This window comes from Homo sapiens, chromosome 3, assembly GCF_000001405.40.
Source record: "Homo sapiens chromosome 3, GRCh38.p14 Primary Assembly".
Taxonomy (NCBI): Eukaryota; Metazoa; Chordata; class Mammalia; order Primates; family Hominidae; genus Homo; species Homo sapiens.
The window spans coordinates 128,827,625-128,841,113 of record NC_000003.12 but is presented as its reverse complement, the minus strand read 5'-3'; the positions used below and the strand labels follow the sequence as shown (position 1 = coordinate 128,841,113).

The window sequence follows — 13,489 nt, the reverse complement described above, 5'->3', positions numbered from 1 at the left end:
CATTGCAGCCCAGGGCTGCTCCCCACCCCCCTTCTCTGTGTCTCTACCCTTCTCTTTAAACTTCCTCCTTCACTATAGGCAAACTTCCACCCTCCATTCCTCCTTTTTCTCCCTTAGCCTGTGTTCTCAAGAACTTAAAACCTCTTCAACTCTTGCCTGACCTAAAATTTAAACACCTTATTTTCTTCTGCAATACCACTTGGCCCCAGTACAAACTCTACAGTAGTTCCAAGTGGCCAGGGAATGGCACTTTTGATTTGTCTATCCTACAAGATCTACAGAATTTTTGTCGAAAAATGGGCAAATGGTCTGAGGTGCCTGATGTCCAGGCATTCTTTACACATTGGTCCCTCCCTAGTCTCTGCTCCCGATGAGACTCATCCCAAATCTTTCTTCTTTCTCTGCTGTCTGTTCCTTCAGTCTCCACCCCAAGCTCTGAGTCCTTTGAATCCTTATTTTCTATGGACTCATCTGACCTCTCCCCTTCTCCCTGGGCTGCTCCTCGCCAGGCCGAGCCAGGTCCCAATTCTTCCTCAGCCTCTGCTCCCCCACCCTATAATCTTTCTATCACCTCCTCTCCTCACACCTGGTCTGGTTTACAGTTTCGTTCTGTGACTAGCTCTCTCCGACCTGCCCAACAATTTCCTCTTAGAGAGGTGGCTGGAGCTGAAGGCATAGTCAGGGTACATGTGCCTTTTTCTCCATGAGACCTTTCCCAAATCAGCCGGCGTTTAGGCTCTTTCTCATCAGACCCCACTAAATATATACAGGAATTCCGATATCCAATTCTGTCCTACAATTTAACCTGGAGTGACTTAAGTGTCAACCTAACTTCTACCCGCTCCCCAGATGAATGGGAAAGAGTTTTTTCTCCAGCCCAATCTCATGCTGATAACCGCCAGCTTCATAAGCCAGGCCTCCAGGAAGGCATTAGAGCAGTTCCCCTAGAAGATCCCCAGTGGAACTATCAGGCAGATTCCCCAGGTATAGCTGGGCAAGATTACATGGTTTCCTGCCTAGTTGAAGGGCTTAAAAAGGCAGCTTACAAACCTGTTAATTCTGACAAACTTAAAGAAACTACCCAAGGTAAAGACGAAAACCCAGCCCAGTTCAGGGCCCGCTTAGCAGCAACACTTAGACGCTTTACCGCCCTAGACCCAGAGGGGCCAGAAGGCCGCCTTATTCTTAATATGCATTTTATCACCCAGTCAGCTCCTGACGTTAGAAAAAAGCTTCAAAAATTGGAATCTGGCCCTCAAACCCCACAACAGGAATTAATCAACCTCGCCTTCAAGGTGTACAATAATAGAGAGGATAGAGAGGAGGTAGCCAGACAGCAACGCATTTCTGAGTTACAGCTACTTGCCTCTGCTGTAAGACAACCCACAACCACGTCTCCAGCATACAAGAACTTCAGAACATCAAAGCCACAGCTCCCAGGGGCTCCTTCAAAACATCCTCGTGGACCTTGCTTCAAATGCCAAAAGCCTGGCCACTGGGCCTCAGTATGCCCGCAGCCTGGGATTCCTCCTAAGCCGTGCCCTGCCTGTGCTGGCCCCCACTGGAGGTCGGACTGCCCGACTCACATCGCTGCCGCTCCTAAAGCCCCTGGAACCCAGACCCAACGTTCTTTGGCCGACTCATTCCCAGATCTCCTCGGCTTAGCAGCTGAAGACTGATGCCGCCTGATCGCCTCGGAAGCCCCCTGGACCATCACAGACACCGAGCTTTGGGTAACTCTTACAGTGGAGGGTAAGTCCGTCCCCTCTTTAATTGATATGGGGGCTACCCACTACACATTACCTTCTTTTCAAGGGCCTGTTTCCCTTGCCCCCATAACTGTTGTGGGTATTAATGGCCAAGCCCCAAAACCCCTTAAAACTCTCCAACTCTGGTGCCAACTTGGACAACATTCTTTTATGCACTCCTTTTAATTATCCCCAACTGCCCAGCTCCCTTATTAGGTCGAGACATTTTAACTAAATTATCTGCTTCCCTGACTATTCCTGGGCTACAGCCACACCTCATTGCTGCCTTTCCCCCAGTTCAAAGCCTCCTTCACATCCTCTCCTTGTATCTCCCCACCTTAATCCACAAGTATAGGACACCTCTACTCCCTCCTTGGCGATGGATGATGGACCCCTTATCATCCCATTAAAACTTAATCACTCTTACCCCGCTCAATGCCAATATCCCATCCCACAGCATGCTTAGGAGGATTAAAGCCTGTTATCACTCACCTGCTACAGCATGGCCTTTTAAAGCGTATAAACTCTCCTTACAATTCCTCCATTTTACCTGTCCAGAAACTGGACAAGTCTTACAGGTTAGTTCAGGATCTGCGCCTTATCAACCAAATTGTCTTGCCTATTCACCCCATGGTGCCAAAGCCATATACTCTCCTATCCTCAATACCTCCCTCCACAGCCCATTATTCTGTTCTAGATAAACCTAGCTGACCCCATAAATCCTAAATCCTTTCCCCACTCCCCTTTCCATTCCTTAAAAAATAGCCCTAAAGGCTGCTCCCACACTAGCTCTCCCTAACTCATCCCAACCTTTTTCATTACACACAGCCGAAGTGCAGGGCTGCATGGTCGGAATTCTTACACAAGAGCCGGGACGGTGCCCTGTAGTCTTTCTGTCCAAACAACTTGACCTTACTCTTTTAGCCTAGCCCTCATGTCTGCGTGTGGCGGCTGCCACTGCTTTAATAGGGGCCCTCAAAATCACAAACTATGCTCAACTATCTACAATTCTCATAACTTCCAAAATCTATTTTCTTCCTCATACCTGACACATATACCTTCTGCTCCCTAGATCCTTTGGCTAGACTCACTCTTTTTTGAGTCTCCCACAATTACCATTGTTCCCGGCCTGGACTTCAATCCAGCCTGTCACATTATTCCTGATACCACACCTGACCCCCATGACTGTATCTCTCGGATACACCTGGCATTCGCTCCATTTCCCCAAATTTTCTTCTTTCCTGTTCCTCACCCTGATCACACCTGGTTTAGTGATGGCAGTTCCACCAGGCCTAATCACCACACACCAGCAAAGGCAGGCTATTCTATAGTATCTTCCACATATATCATTGAGGCTACCACTCTGCCCCCCTCCACTACCTCTCAACAAGCCAAACTCATTGCCTTAACTCGAGCCCTCACTATTGCAAAGGACTACGCATCAATATTTATACTGACTCTAAATATGCCTTCCATATGCTGTACCACCATGCTGTTACATGGGCAAAAAGAGGTTTCCTCACTACACAAAGGTCCTCCATCAATAATGCCTCTTTAATAAAAACTCTTCTCAAGGCCGCTTTACTTCCAAAAAAACCTAGAGTCATTCACTGCAAGGGTCATAAAAAGGCATCAGATCCCATCACTCAGGGCAGCACTTATGCTGATAAGGTAGCTAAAAAAGCAGCTAGCATTCCAACTTCTATCTCTCACGGCAGTTTTTCTCCTTCTCATCGGTCACTCCCACCTACTCCCCCACTGAAATTTCCACCTATCAATCTCTTCCCACACAAGGCAAATGGTTCTTAGACCAAGGAAAATACCTCCTTCCAGCCTCACAGGCCCATTCTATTCTGTCATCATTTCATAACCTCTTCCATGTAAAAGTTACAAGCCACTAGCCTGCCTCTTAGAACCTCTCACTTCCTTTCCATCGTGGAAATCTATCCTTAAGGAAATAACTTCTCAGTGTTCCATCTGCTATTCTACTACTCCTCAGGGATTATTCAGGCCCCCTCCCTTCTCTACACATCAAGCTCGGGGATTTGCCCCCACCCAGGACTGGCAAATTGACTTTACTCACATGCTCCAAGTCAGGAAACTAAAATACCTCTTGGTCTGGGTAGACACTTTCACTGGATGGGTAGAGGCCTTTCCCACAGGGTCTGAGAAGGCCACTGTGGTCATTGCTTCCCTTTTGTCAGACGTAATTCCTCAGTTTGGCCTTCCCACCTCTATACAGTCTGATAATGGACTGGCCTTTATTAGTCAAATCACCCAAGCAGTTTCTCAGGCTCTTGGTATTCAGTGGAATCTTCATACCCCTTATCGTCCTTAATCTTCAGGAAAGGTAGAATGGACTAATGGTCTTTTAAAAACACACCTCACCAAGCTCAGCCTCCAACTTAAAAAAGGAGGACTCTGTCAAGGATAGATCCCAAAAACTCACCAGCCAAACAAGTAATTACACTGAACCCCGTTGGGCACTCTGTAATTGGATGTCCTGGGTCCTCCCAATTCTTAGTCCTTTAATATCTGTTTTTCTCCTTCTCTTATTTGGACCTCGTGTTTTCCGTTTAGTTTCTCACTTCATCCAAAACCGTATCCAGGCCATCACCAATCCTATACGACGAATGTTTCTTCTAACAACCCCACAATATCACCCCTTACCACAAAATCTTCCTTCAGCTTAATCTCTTCCACTCTAGGTTCCCACGCTGCCCCTAATCCCACTCGAAGCAGCCCTGAGAAACATTGCCCATTATCTCTCCATACCACCCCCAAAAATTTTCACTGCCCCAACACTTTACCACTATTTCATTTTATTTTTCTTATGAATATAAGACAGGAATGTCAGGCCTCTGAGCCCAAGCTAAGCCATCATATCCCCTGTGACCTGCATGTATACATCCCTCTGGCCTGAAGTAATTGAAGATCCACAAAAGAAGTGAAAATAGCCTTAACTGATGACATTCCACCATTGTGATTTGTTTCTGCCCCACCCTAACTGATCAATGTACTTTGTAATCTCCCCCACCCTTAAGAAGGTTCTTTATAATCTCCCCCACCCTTGAGAATGTACTTTGTGAGATCCACCCCCTGCCCCCAAAACATTGCTCTTAACTCCACTGCCTATCCCAAAACCTGTAAGAACTAATGATAATCCACCACCCTTTGCTGACTCTCTTTTCAGATTCAGCCTGCCTGCACCCAGGTGAAATAAACAGCCTTGTTGCTCACACAAAGCCTGTTTGTTGGTCTCTTCACATGGACCTGTGAGACAGAGAGGACCTGAGATAGTGCCCCCTGCCCACCCTGAAGGTCAGCCCTGGGCAGGGCAGGCCACTGTGCCTTGTGGCATCTGTCACTTGTGACCTTGACAGGTGGCCCGCAGAGGACATAGCTGCACTTGGTCAGCTGTAGGTCTTGGGGCAGCTGCATCAGGGTGGCCCTGACTTGAGACACCCTGATGCCTGTCCACCCGTCCACTCCTGGGCAGCAGCGCTGGAAGGGAGGCAGCCTCCCGGGGCTCTGCCACAGGGTGCAAGGCTGAGGGAGTCTTGGCTTTGGGCTGTTGGCGGTTGAGTGTGGGGCATTGCATTCTTCTTCATTCCTGTCTATAAGGACCACCAGAAGCAATTTGCCTTCAGCTGGGAAGGCCAGCAGTATACCTTCATGGTCCTACCTCAGGGCTCTATCACCTATCTGGCTTTGTGTCATAATCTTCTTCACAGACATCTTACTGGTGCTTCCCTCGCATGAGGTATCACACTGGTCCGTTACATTGACGACATTATGCTGACGGGAGCGACAAGTAGCAACCACACTGGACTCATTGTTGAGACATTTATGTGCCAGCGGATGGGAAATAAATCTGACTAAAATTCAGGTGAGGCTGGAGAATAGGGAAACTGAGCAGGAGGGTAGCAAAGGTAATTAAAAGTTAAATAAAGGGCAGAATGACTAAAAGCAGAAAGTAGAAGCAAGGTAAAAGGGCAGTGGGCAAGAAGCAAGATGAGAGCTAGAAGTTGAGCAGTCAAAACAAAAAGAGAAGTGAGCAAGTACACCCTGGCTGGCAGGATCCAGACCAAACCAGTAAGGGGCCGCTCTTCAGGGCTAGGCATGTGCATTAGAGAGAAAACATTTCCTTACCATGACCCCGTATGATAATCAGCTCATTAAAGCTCATGCATGTTGGGGACCAGCCTCAACACCACCCACAGGGTACCCGAGGTCGGGTGGTAACAAAGGATTGAGAAGAGACAGGTTAAGTGCTCATAAAGGTGGGAGCCAGGGGGCCAGTTGCAAATGGAGGCCACAAAAGGCTCAGAGCTCTGGTCTCCACACTATTGAGTATAATCACTTAGATCTAAGAAGCAGATGTTCAGGACGAAACAGTGAAAGGGTGGCAGTGCGTCATAGGTGTCAGGCCTCTGAGCCCAAGCCAAGCCATCGCATCCCCTGTGACATGCGCGTATACATCCAGATGGCCTGGAGTAACTGAAGATCCACAAAAGAAGTGAAAATAGCCTTAACTGATGACATTCCACTATTGTGATTTGTTCCTGCCCCACCATAACTGATCAATGTACTTTGTAATCTCCCCCACCCTTAAGAAGGTTCTTTGTAATTCTCCCCACCCTTGAGAATGTACTTTGTGAGATCCACCCCTGCCCACAAAACATTGCTCTTAACTTCACCGCCTATCCCAAAACCTGTAAGAACTAATGATAATCCATCTCCCTTCGCTGACTCTCTTTTCGGACTCAGCCCGCCTGCACCCAGGTGAAATAAACAGCCATGTTGCTCACACAAAGCCTGTTTGGTGGTCTCTTCACACGGACGTGCATGAAATTTGGTACCATGACTCGGTTCGGAGGACCTCCCTTGGGAGATCAATCCCCTGTCCTCCTTGCTCTTTGCTGCATGAGAAAGATCCATCTATGTATGACCTCAGGTCCTCAGATGGACCAGCCCAAGAAACATCTCACCAATTTCAAATCCAGTAAGTAGCCTCTTTTTACTCTCTTCTCCAAATTCCCTCACTATCCCTCAACCTCTTTCTCCTTTCAATCTTGGTGCCACACTTCAATCTCTCCCTTCTCTTAATTTCAATTCCTTTCATTTTCTGGTAGAGACAAAGGAGACACGTTTTATCCGTGGACCCAAAACTCCGGCACCGGTCACGGACTGGGAAGGCAGCCTTCCCTTGGTGTTTAATCATTGCAGGGACATCTCTCTGATTATTCACCCACGTTTCAAAGGTGTCAGACCACGCAGGGACGCCTGCCTTGGTCCTTCACCCTTAGCGGCAAGTCCCGCTTTTCTGGGGGAGGGGCAAGTACCCCAACCCCTTCTCTCTGTGTCTCTACCCCTTCTCTGGTTTTCTGGGGGAGGGGCACATACCCCAACCCCTTCTCTTCATGTCTCTACCCCTTCTCTGGTTTTCTGGGGGAGGGGCAAGTACCCCAAACCCTTCTCTCCGTGTCTCTACCCCTTCTCTGCTCTTCTGGGGCAGGGGCAAGAACCCCTCAACCCCTTCTCCTTCACCCTTAGTGGCAAGTCCCGCTTTTCTAGAGGGCAAGAACCCCCAATCCCTTATTTCCGTGCCCCAACACCTTCTCTGCTTTTCTGGAGGGCAAGAACCCCCTACCCCTTCTCCGTGTCTCTACTCTTTTCTCTGGGCTTGCCTCCTTCACTATGGGCAAGCTTCCACCTTCCATTCCTCCTCCTTCTCCCTTAGCCTGTGTTCTTAAGAACTTAAAACCTCTTCAACTCTCACCTGACCTAAAATCTAAGCATCTTATTTTCTTCTGCAATGCCGCTTGACCCCAATACAAACTCGACAGTAGTTCCAAATAGCCAGAAAACGGCACTTTCAATTTTTCCATCCTACAAGATCTAAATAATTCTTGTCATAAAATGGGCAAATGGTCTGAGATGCCTGACATCCAGGCATTCTTTTACACATCAGTCCCTTCCTAGTCTCTGTGCCCAATGCAACTCATCCCAAATCTTCCTTCTTTCCCTCTTGCCTGTCCCCTCAGTCCCAACGTCAAGCGTCACTGCGTCTTTCTAATCTTCCTTTTCTACAGACCCATCTGACCTCTCCCCTCCTCCCCAGGCTGCTCCTCGCCAGGCCAAGCTAGGTCCCAATTCTTCTTCAGCTTCTGCTCCTCCACTCTATAATCCATTTATCACCTCCCCTCCTCACACCTGGTCCGGCTTATGGTTTCATTCTGTGACTAGCCCTCCCCCACCTGCCCAGCAATTTACTCTTAAAAAGGTGGCTGGAGCTAAAGGCATAGTCAAGGTTAATGCTCCTTTTTCTTTATCCCAAATCAGGTAGCCTTTAGGCTCTTTTTCATCAAATATAAAAACCCAGCCCAGTTCATGGCTCGTTTGGCAGCAACCCTGAGAAGCTTTACAGCCCTAGACCCTAAAAGGTCAAAGGGCCGTCTTATTCTTAATATACATTTTATTACCCAATCTGCTCCTGACATTAAATAAAACTCCAAAAATTAAATTCCGGCCCTCAAACCCCACAACAGGATTTAACCTTGCCTTCAAGGTGTACAATAATAGAAAAAAGTTGGAATTCCTTGCCTCCACTGTGAGACAAACCCCAGCAACATCTCCAGCACACAAGAACTTCCAAACACCTAAACAGCAGTGGCCAGGTGTTCCTCCAGAACTGCCTCCCCCAGGAGCTTGCTACAAGTGCCAGAAATCTGGCCACCGAGCCAAGGAATGCCCGCAGCCCGGGATTCCTCCTAAGCCGTGTCCCATCTGTGTGGGACCCCACTGAAAATCGGACTGTTCAACTCACCTGGCAGCCCCTCCCAGAGCCCCTGGAACTCTGGCCCAAGGCTCTCTGACTGACTCCTTCCCAGATCTTCTCGGCTTAATGGCTGAAGACTGACGCTGCCCGATCGCCTTGGAAGCCCCGTAGACCATCATGGACACCGAGCTTTAGGTAACTCTCACAGTGGAAGGTAAGTCCGTCCTCTTCTTAATCAATACGGAGGCTACCCACTCCACATTACCTTCTTTTCAAGGGCCTGTTTCCCTTGCCTCCATAACTGTTGTGGGTATTGACGGCCAGGCTTCTAAACCTCTTAAAACTCCCCAACTCTGGTGTCAACTTAGACAATACTCTTTTAAGCACTCCTCTTAATTATCCCCACCTGCCCCGTTCCCTTATTAGGCCGAGACACTTTAACTAAATTATCTGCTTCCCTGACTATTCCTGGATTACAGTTACATCTCATTGCTGCCCTTCTTTCCAATCCAAAGCCTCCTTTGTGTCCTCCTCTTGTATCCCCCGACCTTAACCCACAAGATACCTCTACTCCCTCCTTGGCGACCTATCATGCACCCCTTACCATCTCATTAAAACCTAATCATCCTTACCCCGCTCAATGCCAATATCCCATCCCACAGCATGCTTTGAAAGGATTAAAGCCTGTTATCACTTGCCTGCTACAGCATGGCCTTTTAAAGCCTATAAACTCTCCTTACAATTCCCCCATTTTACCTGTCCTAAAACCAGACAAGCCTTACAAGTTAGTTCAGGATCTATGCCTTATCAACCAAATTGTTTTGCCTATCCACCCCATGGTGCCAAACCCATATACTCTCCTATCCTCAATACCTCCCTCTACTACCCATTATTCTGTTCTGGATCTCAAACATGCTTTCTTTACTATTCCTTTGCACCCGTCATCCCAGCCTCTCTTTGCTTTTACTTGGACTGACCCTGACACCCATCAGACTCAGCAAATTACCTGGGCTGTACTGCCACAAAGCTTCACAGACAGCCCCCATTACTTCAGTCAAGCCCAAATTTCTTCCTTATCTGTTACCTATCTCAGCATAATTCTCATAAAAACACACATTCTCTCCCTGCTGATCATGTCCGATTAATCTCCCAAACCTCAATCCCTTCTAAAAAACAAGAACTCTTTTCCTTCCTGGGCATGGTTAGTGCGGCCAGAATTCTTACACAAGAGCCAGGACCACACCGTGTAGCCTTTCTGTCCAAACAACTTGACCTTACTGTTTTAGCCTAGCCCTCATGTCTGCGTGCAGCGGCTGCCGCTGCTTGAATACTTTTAGAGGCCCTAAAAATCACAAACTATGCTCAACTCACTCTCTACATTTCTCATAACTTCCAAAATCTATTTTCTTCCTCATACCTGACGCATATACTCCCTGGCTCCTTCAGCTGTACTTACTCTTTGTTAAGTCCCACAATTACCATTGTTCCTGGCCCGGACTTCAATCTGGCCTCCCACATTATTCCTGATACCACACCTGACCTCCATGACTGTATGTCTCTGATCCAACTGACATTCACCCCATTTCCCCATATTTCCTTCTTTCCTTTTCCTCACCCTGATCACGCTTGATTTATTGATGGCAGTTCCACCAGGCCTAATCACCACACACCAGCAAAGGCAGGCTATGCGATAGCACAAGCCACTAGCCCGCCTCTTAGAACCTCTCATTTCCTTTCCATCGTGGAAATCTATCCTCAAGGAAATAACTTCTCAGTTTTCCATCTGCTATTCTACTACTCCTCAGGGATTATTCAGGCCCCCTCCTTTCCCTACACATCAAGCTTGAAGATTTGCCCCCACCCAGGAATGGCAAATTAGCTTTACTCAACATGCCCCGAGACAGATAACAAAAATACCTCTTAGTCTAAGTAGACACTTTCACTAGATAAGTAGAGGCCTTTCCTACAGGGTCTGAGAAGGCCACGCAGTCATTTCTTCCCTTCTGTCAGACATAATTCCTCAGTTTAGCCTTCCCACCTCTATACAGTCTGATAATAGACCAGCCTTTATTAGTCAAATCAGCCAAGCAGTTTTTCAGGCTCTTAGTATTCAGTGAAACCTTTATATCCCTTATGGTCCTCCGTCTTCAAGAAAAGTAGAACGGACTAAAGGTCCTTTAAAAACACAGCTCACCAAGCTCAGCCACCAACTTAAAAAGGACTGGACAATACTTTTACCACTTTCCCTTCTCAGAAGTCAGACCTGTCCTCAGAATGCTACAGGGTACAGCCCATTTGAGCTCCTTTTTATTAGGCCCCAGTCTCATTCCAGACACCAGACTAACTTAGACTGTGCCCCAAAAAAACTTGTCATCCTTACTATTTTCTGTCTAGTCATACTCCTATTCACCGTTCTCAACTACTCATACATGCCCTGCTCTTGTTTACACTGCCGGTTTACACTGTTTCTCCAAGCCATCACAGCTGATATCTCCTCGTGCTATCCCCAAACTGCCACTCTTAACTCAAAGTAAATAAATAATCTTTGCTGGCAGGACTATGCTGAATCTCCTTAGGCACTCTCTAATCAGATGTCCTAGGTCCTCCCAATTCCTAGACCTTTTATACGTGTTTTTCTCCTTCTCTTATTCCATTTAGTTTTTCAATTCATACAAAACCATATCCAGGCCATCACCAATAATTCTACATGACAAATGTTTCTTGTAACAACCCCACAATATCACCCCTTACCACAAAATCTTCCTTCAGCTTAATCTCTTCCACTCTAGGTTCCCACGCCGCCCCTAATCCCGCTTGAAGCAGCCACAAAAGAAGTGAAAATAGCCTTACCTGATGACATTCCACCATTGTGATTTGTTCCTGCCCCACCCTGACTGATCAATGTACTTTGTAATCTCCCCCACCCTTAAGAAGGTTCTTTGTAATTCTCCCCACCCTTGAGAATGTACTTTGTGAGATCCACCCCCTGCCCACAAAACATTGCTCTTAACTATCCCAAAACCTATAAGAACTAATGATAATCCATCTCCCTTCGCTGACTCTCTTTTCGGACTCAGCCCGCCTGCACCCAGGTGAAATAAATAGCCATGTTGCTCACACAAAGCCTGTTTGGTGGTCTCTTCACACGGACACGCATGAAAATAGGCGTAATCTATAGCAATAGTGGTTTAAATGAATCTCCTTTGTGCTCAAACAGCATATCTTTAATTTATCGGAGAGTAGCTAGTGGAAGCGGGCTTAACTAAGAGCCTGCATGTCTGTCCACATTCCAGTGTTTCAAAAGAGTGTCTTTCTCCTTGAACACAGTGTTTACAGATAAGAGAGCGGGTCTCTTGGCCGGGCTCAGTGGCTCAAGCCTGTAATCCCAGCACTTTGGGAGGCCAAGGTGGGCAGATCACAAGGTCAAGAGATCAAGACCATCCTGGCTAACACGGTGAAACTCCGTCTCTACTAAAAATACAAAAAATTAGCTGGGCATGGTGGTGGGCACCCACTGTAGTCCCAGCTACTCGGGAGGCTGAGGCAGGAGAATGGCGTGAACCCGGGAGGCGGAGCTTGCAGTGAGTGGAGATCGGGCCACTGCATTCCAGCCTGGGTGACAGAGCGAGACTGCCTCAAAAAAAAAAAAAAAAAAAAAAAAAAAAGAGTGGGTCTCGCTCTGAGCGTGGGAACATGATGGCAATTACGAGGCTTTCCTCAACTTATTGTCCCATATTTTTATGGCCAGTTTATGCAGGCACCCCATAAGTCTTTTTCCCAACAATGCATATGGACTGCATATCGGACGCGGTGCACAAGCGCAGAGGGGCCAAAGTAACTAAGCAACCCACCTATCAATCAAAAAGGCAGACACTGGCTAGAGATTAGGGAGCCTTGGGAAGAGAAGGAAAAAACCCATAAAAAGATCCAAACTACACCACGCTGGATCTGATCTCACCTCGCAGAGGTTGGTCTGCGCTCCCCCTCTGAGAGTGGAGCACTGTGCCTAATCCACTTCTGCTGCCTTGCTTTGCTATCTGTGTGTGTCTCATCCAATTCTTTGTTCAAGACACCAAAAGCCTAGACCTGCATGGCACCTTCCGGTAACACAGGGACCTACTACCGCAGTAAAATATCTAGGGGTCCAGTGGGTTGGGGCCTGTCAATATATTCCTTTTAAGGTGAAGGATAAGTTGTTGCATTTGGCCCCTCCTACAACCAAGAAAGAGGCAAAATGTCTAGTGGGCCTATTTGGACTTTGGAGGCAACACATTCCTCATTCAGGTGTGTTACTCCGGCCCACTTGTCAAGTGACCCGAAAGGCTGCCAGTTTTGAGTGGGTCCAGAACAGAAGAAGACTCTGCAAGAGGTCCAGGCTGCTGTGCAAGCTGCTCTGCCACTTGGGCCATATGACACAGCAGATCCAATGGTGCTTGAGGTGTCAGTGGTAGATAGCGATGATGTTTGGAACCTTTGGCAGGCCCTGACAGGTGAATCATAGCAGAGGCCTCTGGGATTTTGGAGCAAGGCTCTGCCATCTTCTGAAGATAACTAGTCTCCTTTCGAGAGACAGCTCTTGGCCTGTTAGAAACTGAACATTTGACTATGGGTCACCAAGTCACCATGTGACATGAACTGCATATCATGAACTGGGTGTTTGCTGACCCATCTACCCATAAAGTGGGAGGGGTGTGCACAGCAGCATTCCATCATCAAATGAAGCGGTACGTATGTGATCCGGCTCGAGCAGGTTCTGAAGGCACAAGTAAGTTACATGAGGAAGTGACTCAAATGCCCATGGTCCCCACTCCTGCCACCCTGCCTTCTCTCTCCCAGCCTGCACCAGTGGCCTCATGGCCCTATGATCAGTTGACAAAGGAAGAGAAGACAAGGGCCTAGTTTACAGATGGCTCTGCACAATATGCAGGTACCACCCATAAGTGGACAGCTGCAGCCCCTT

At 47.6% G+C, this 13,489-nt stretch overlaps 1 annotated feature.

Moving 5' to 3' along the window:
- Nucleotides 12,891–13,091: a silencer, noted in NCBI's record as "peak4823 fragment used in MPRA reporter construct". NCBI's record gives its function as "represses an SCP1 promoter by STARR-seq MPRAs in K562 erythroleukemia cells {active_cell/tissue: K562}" and the evidence as "EXISTENCE:reporter gene assay evidence [ECO:0000049][PMID:32103011]".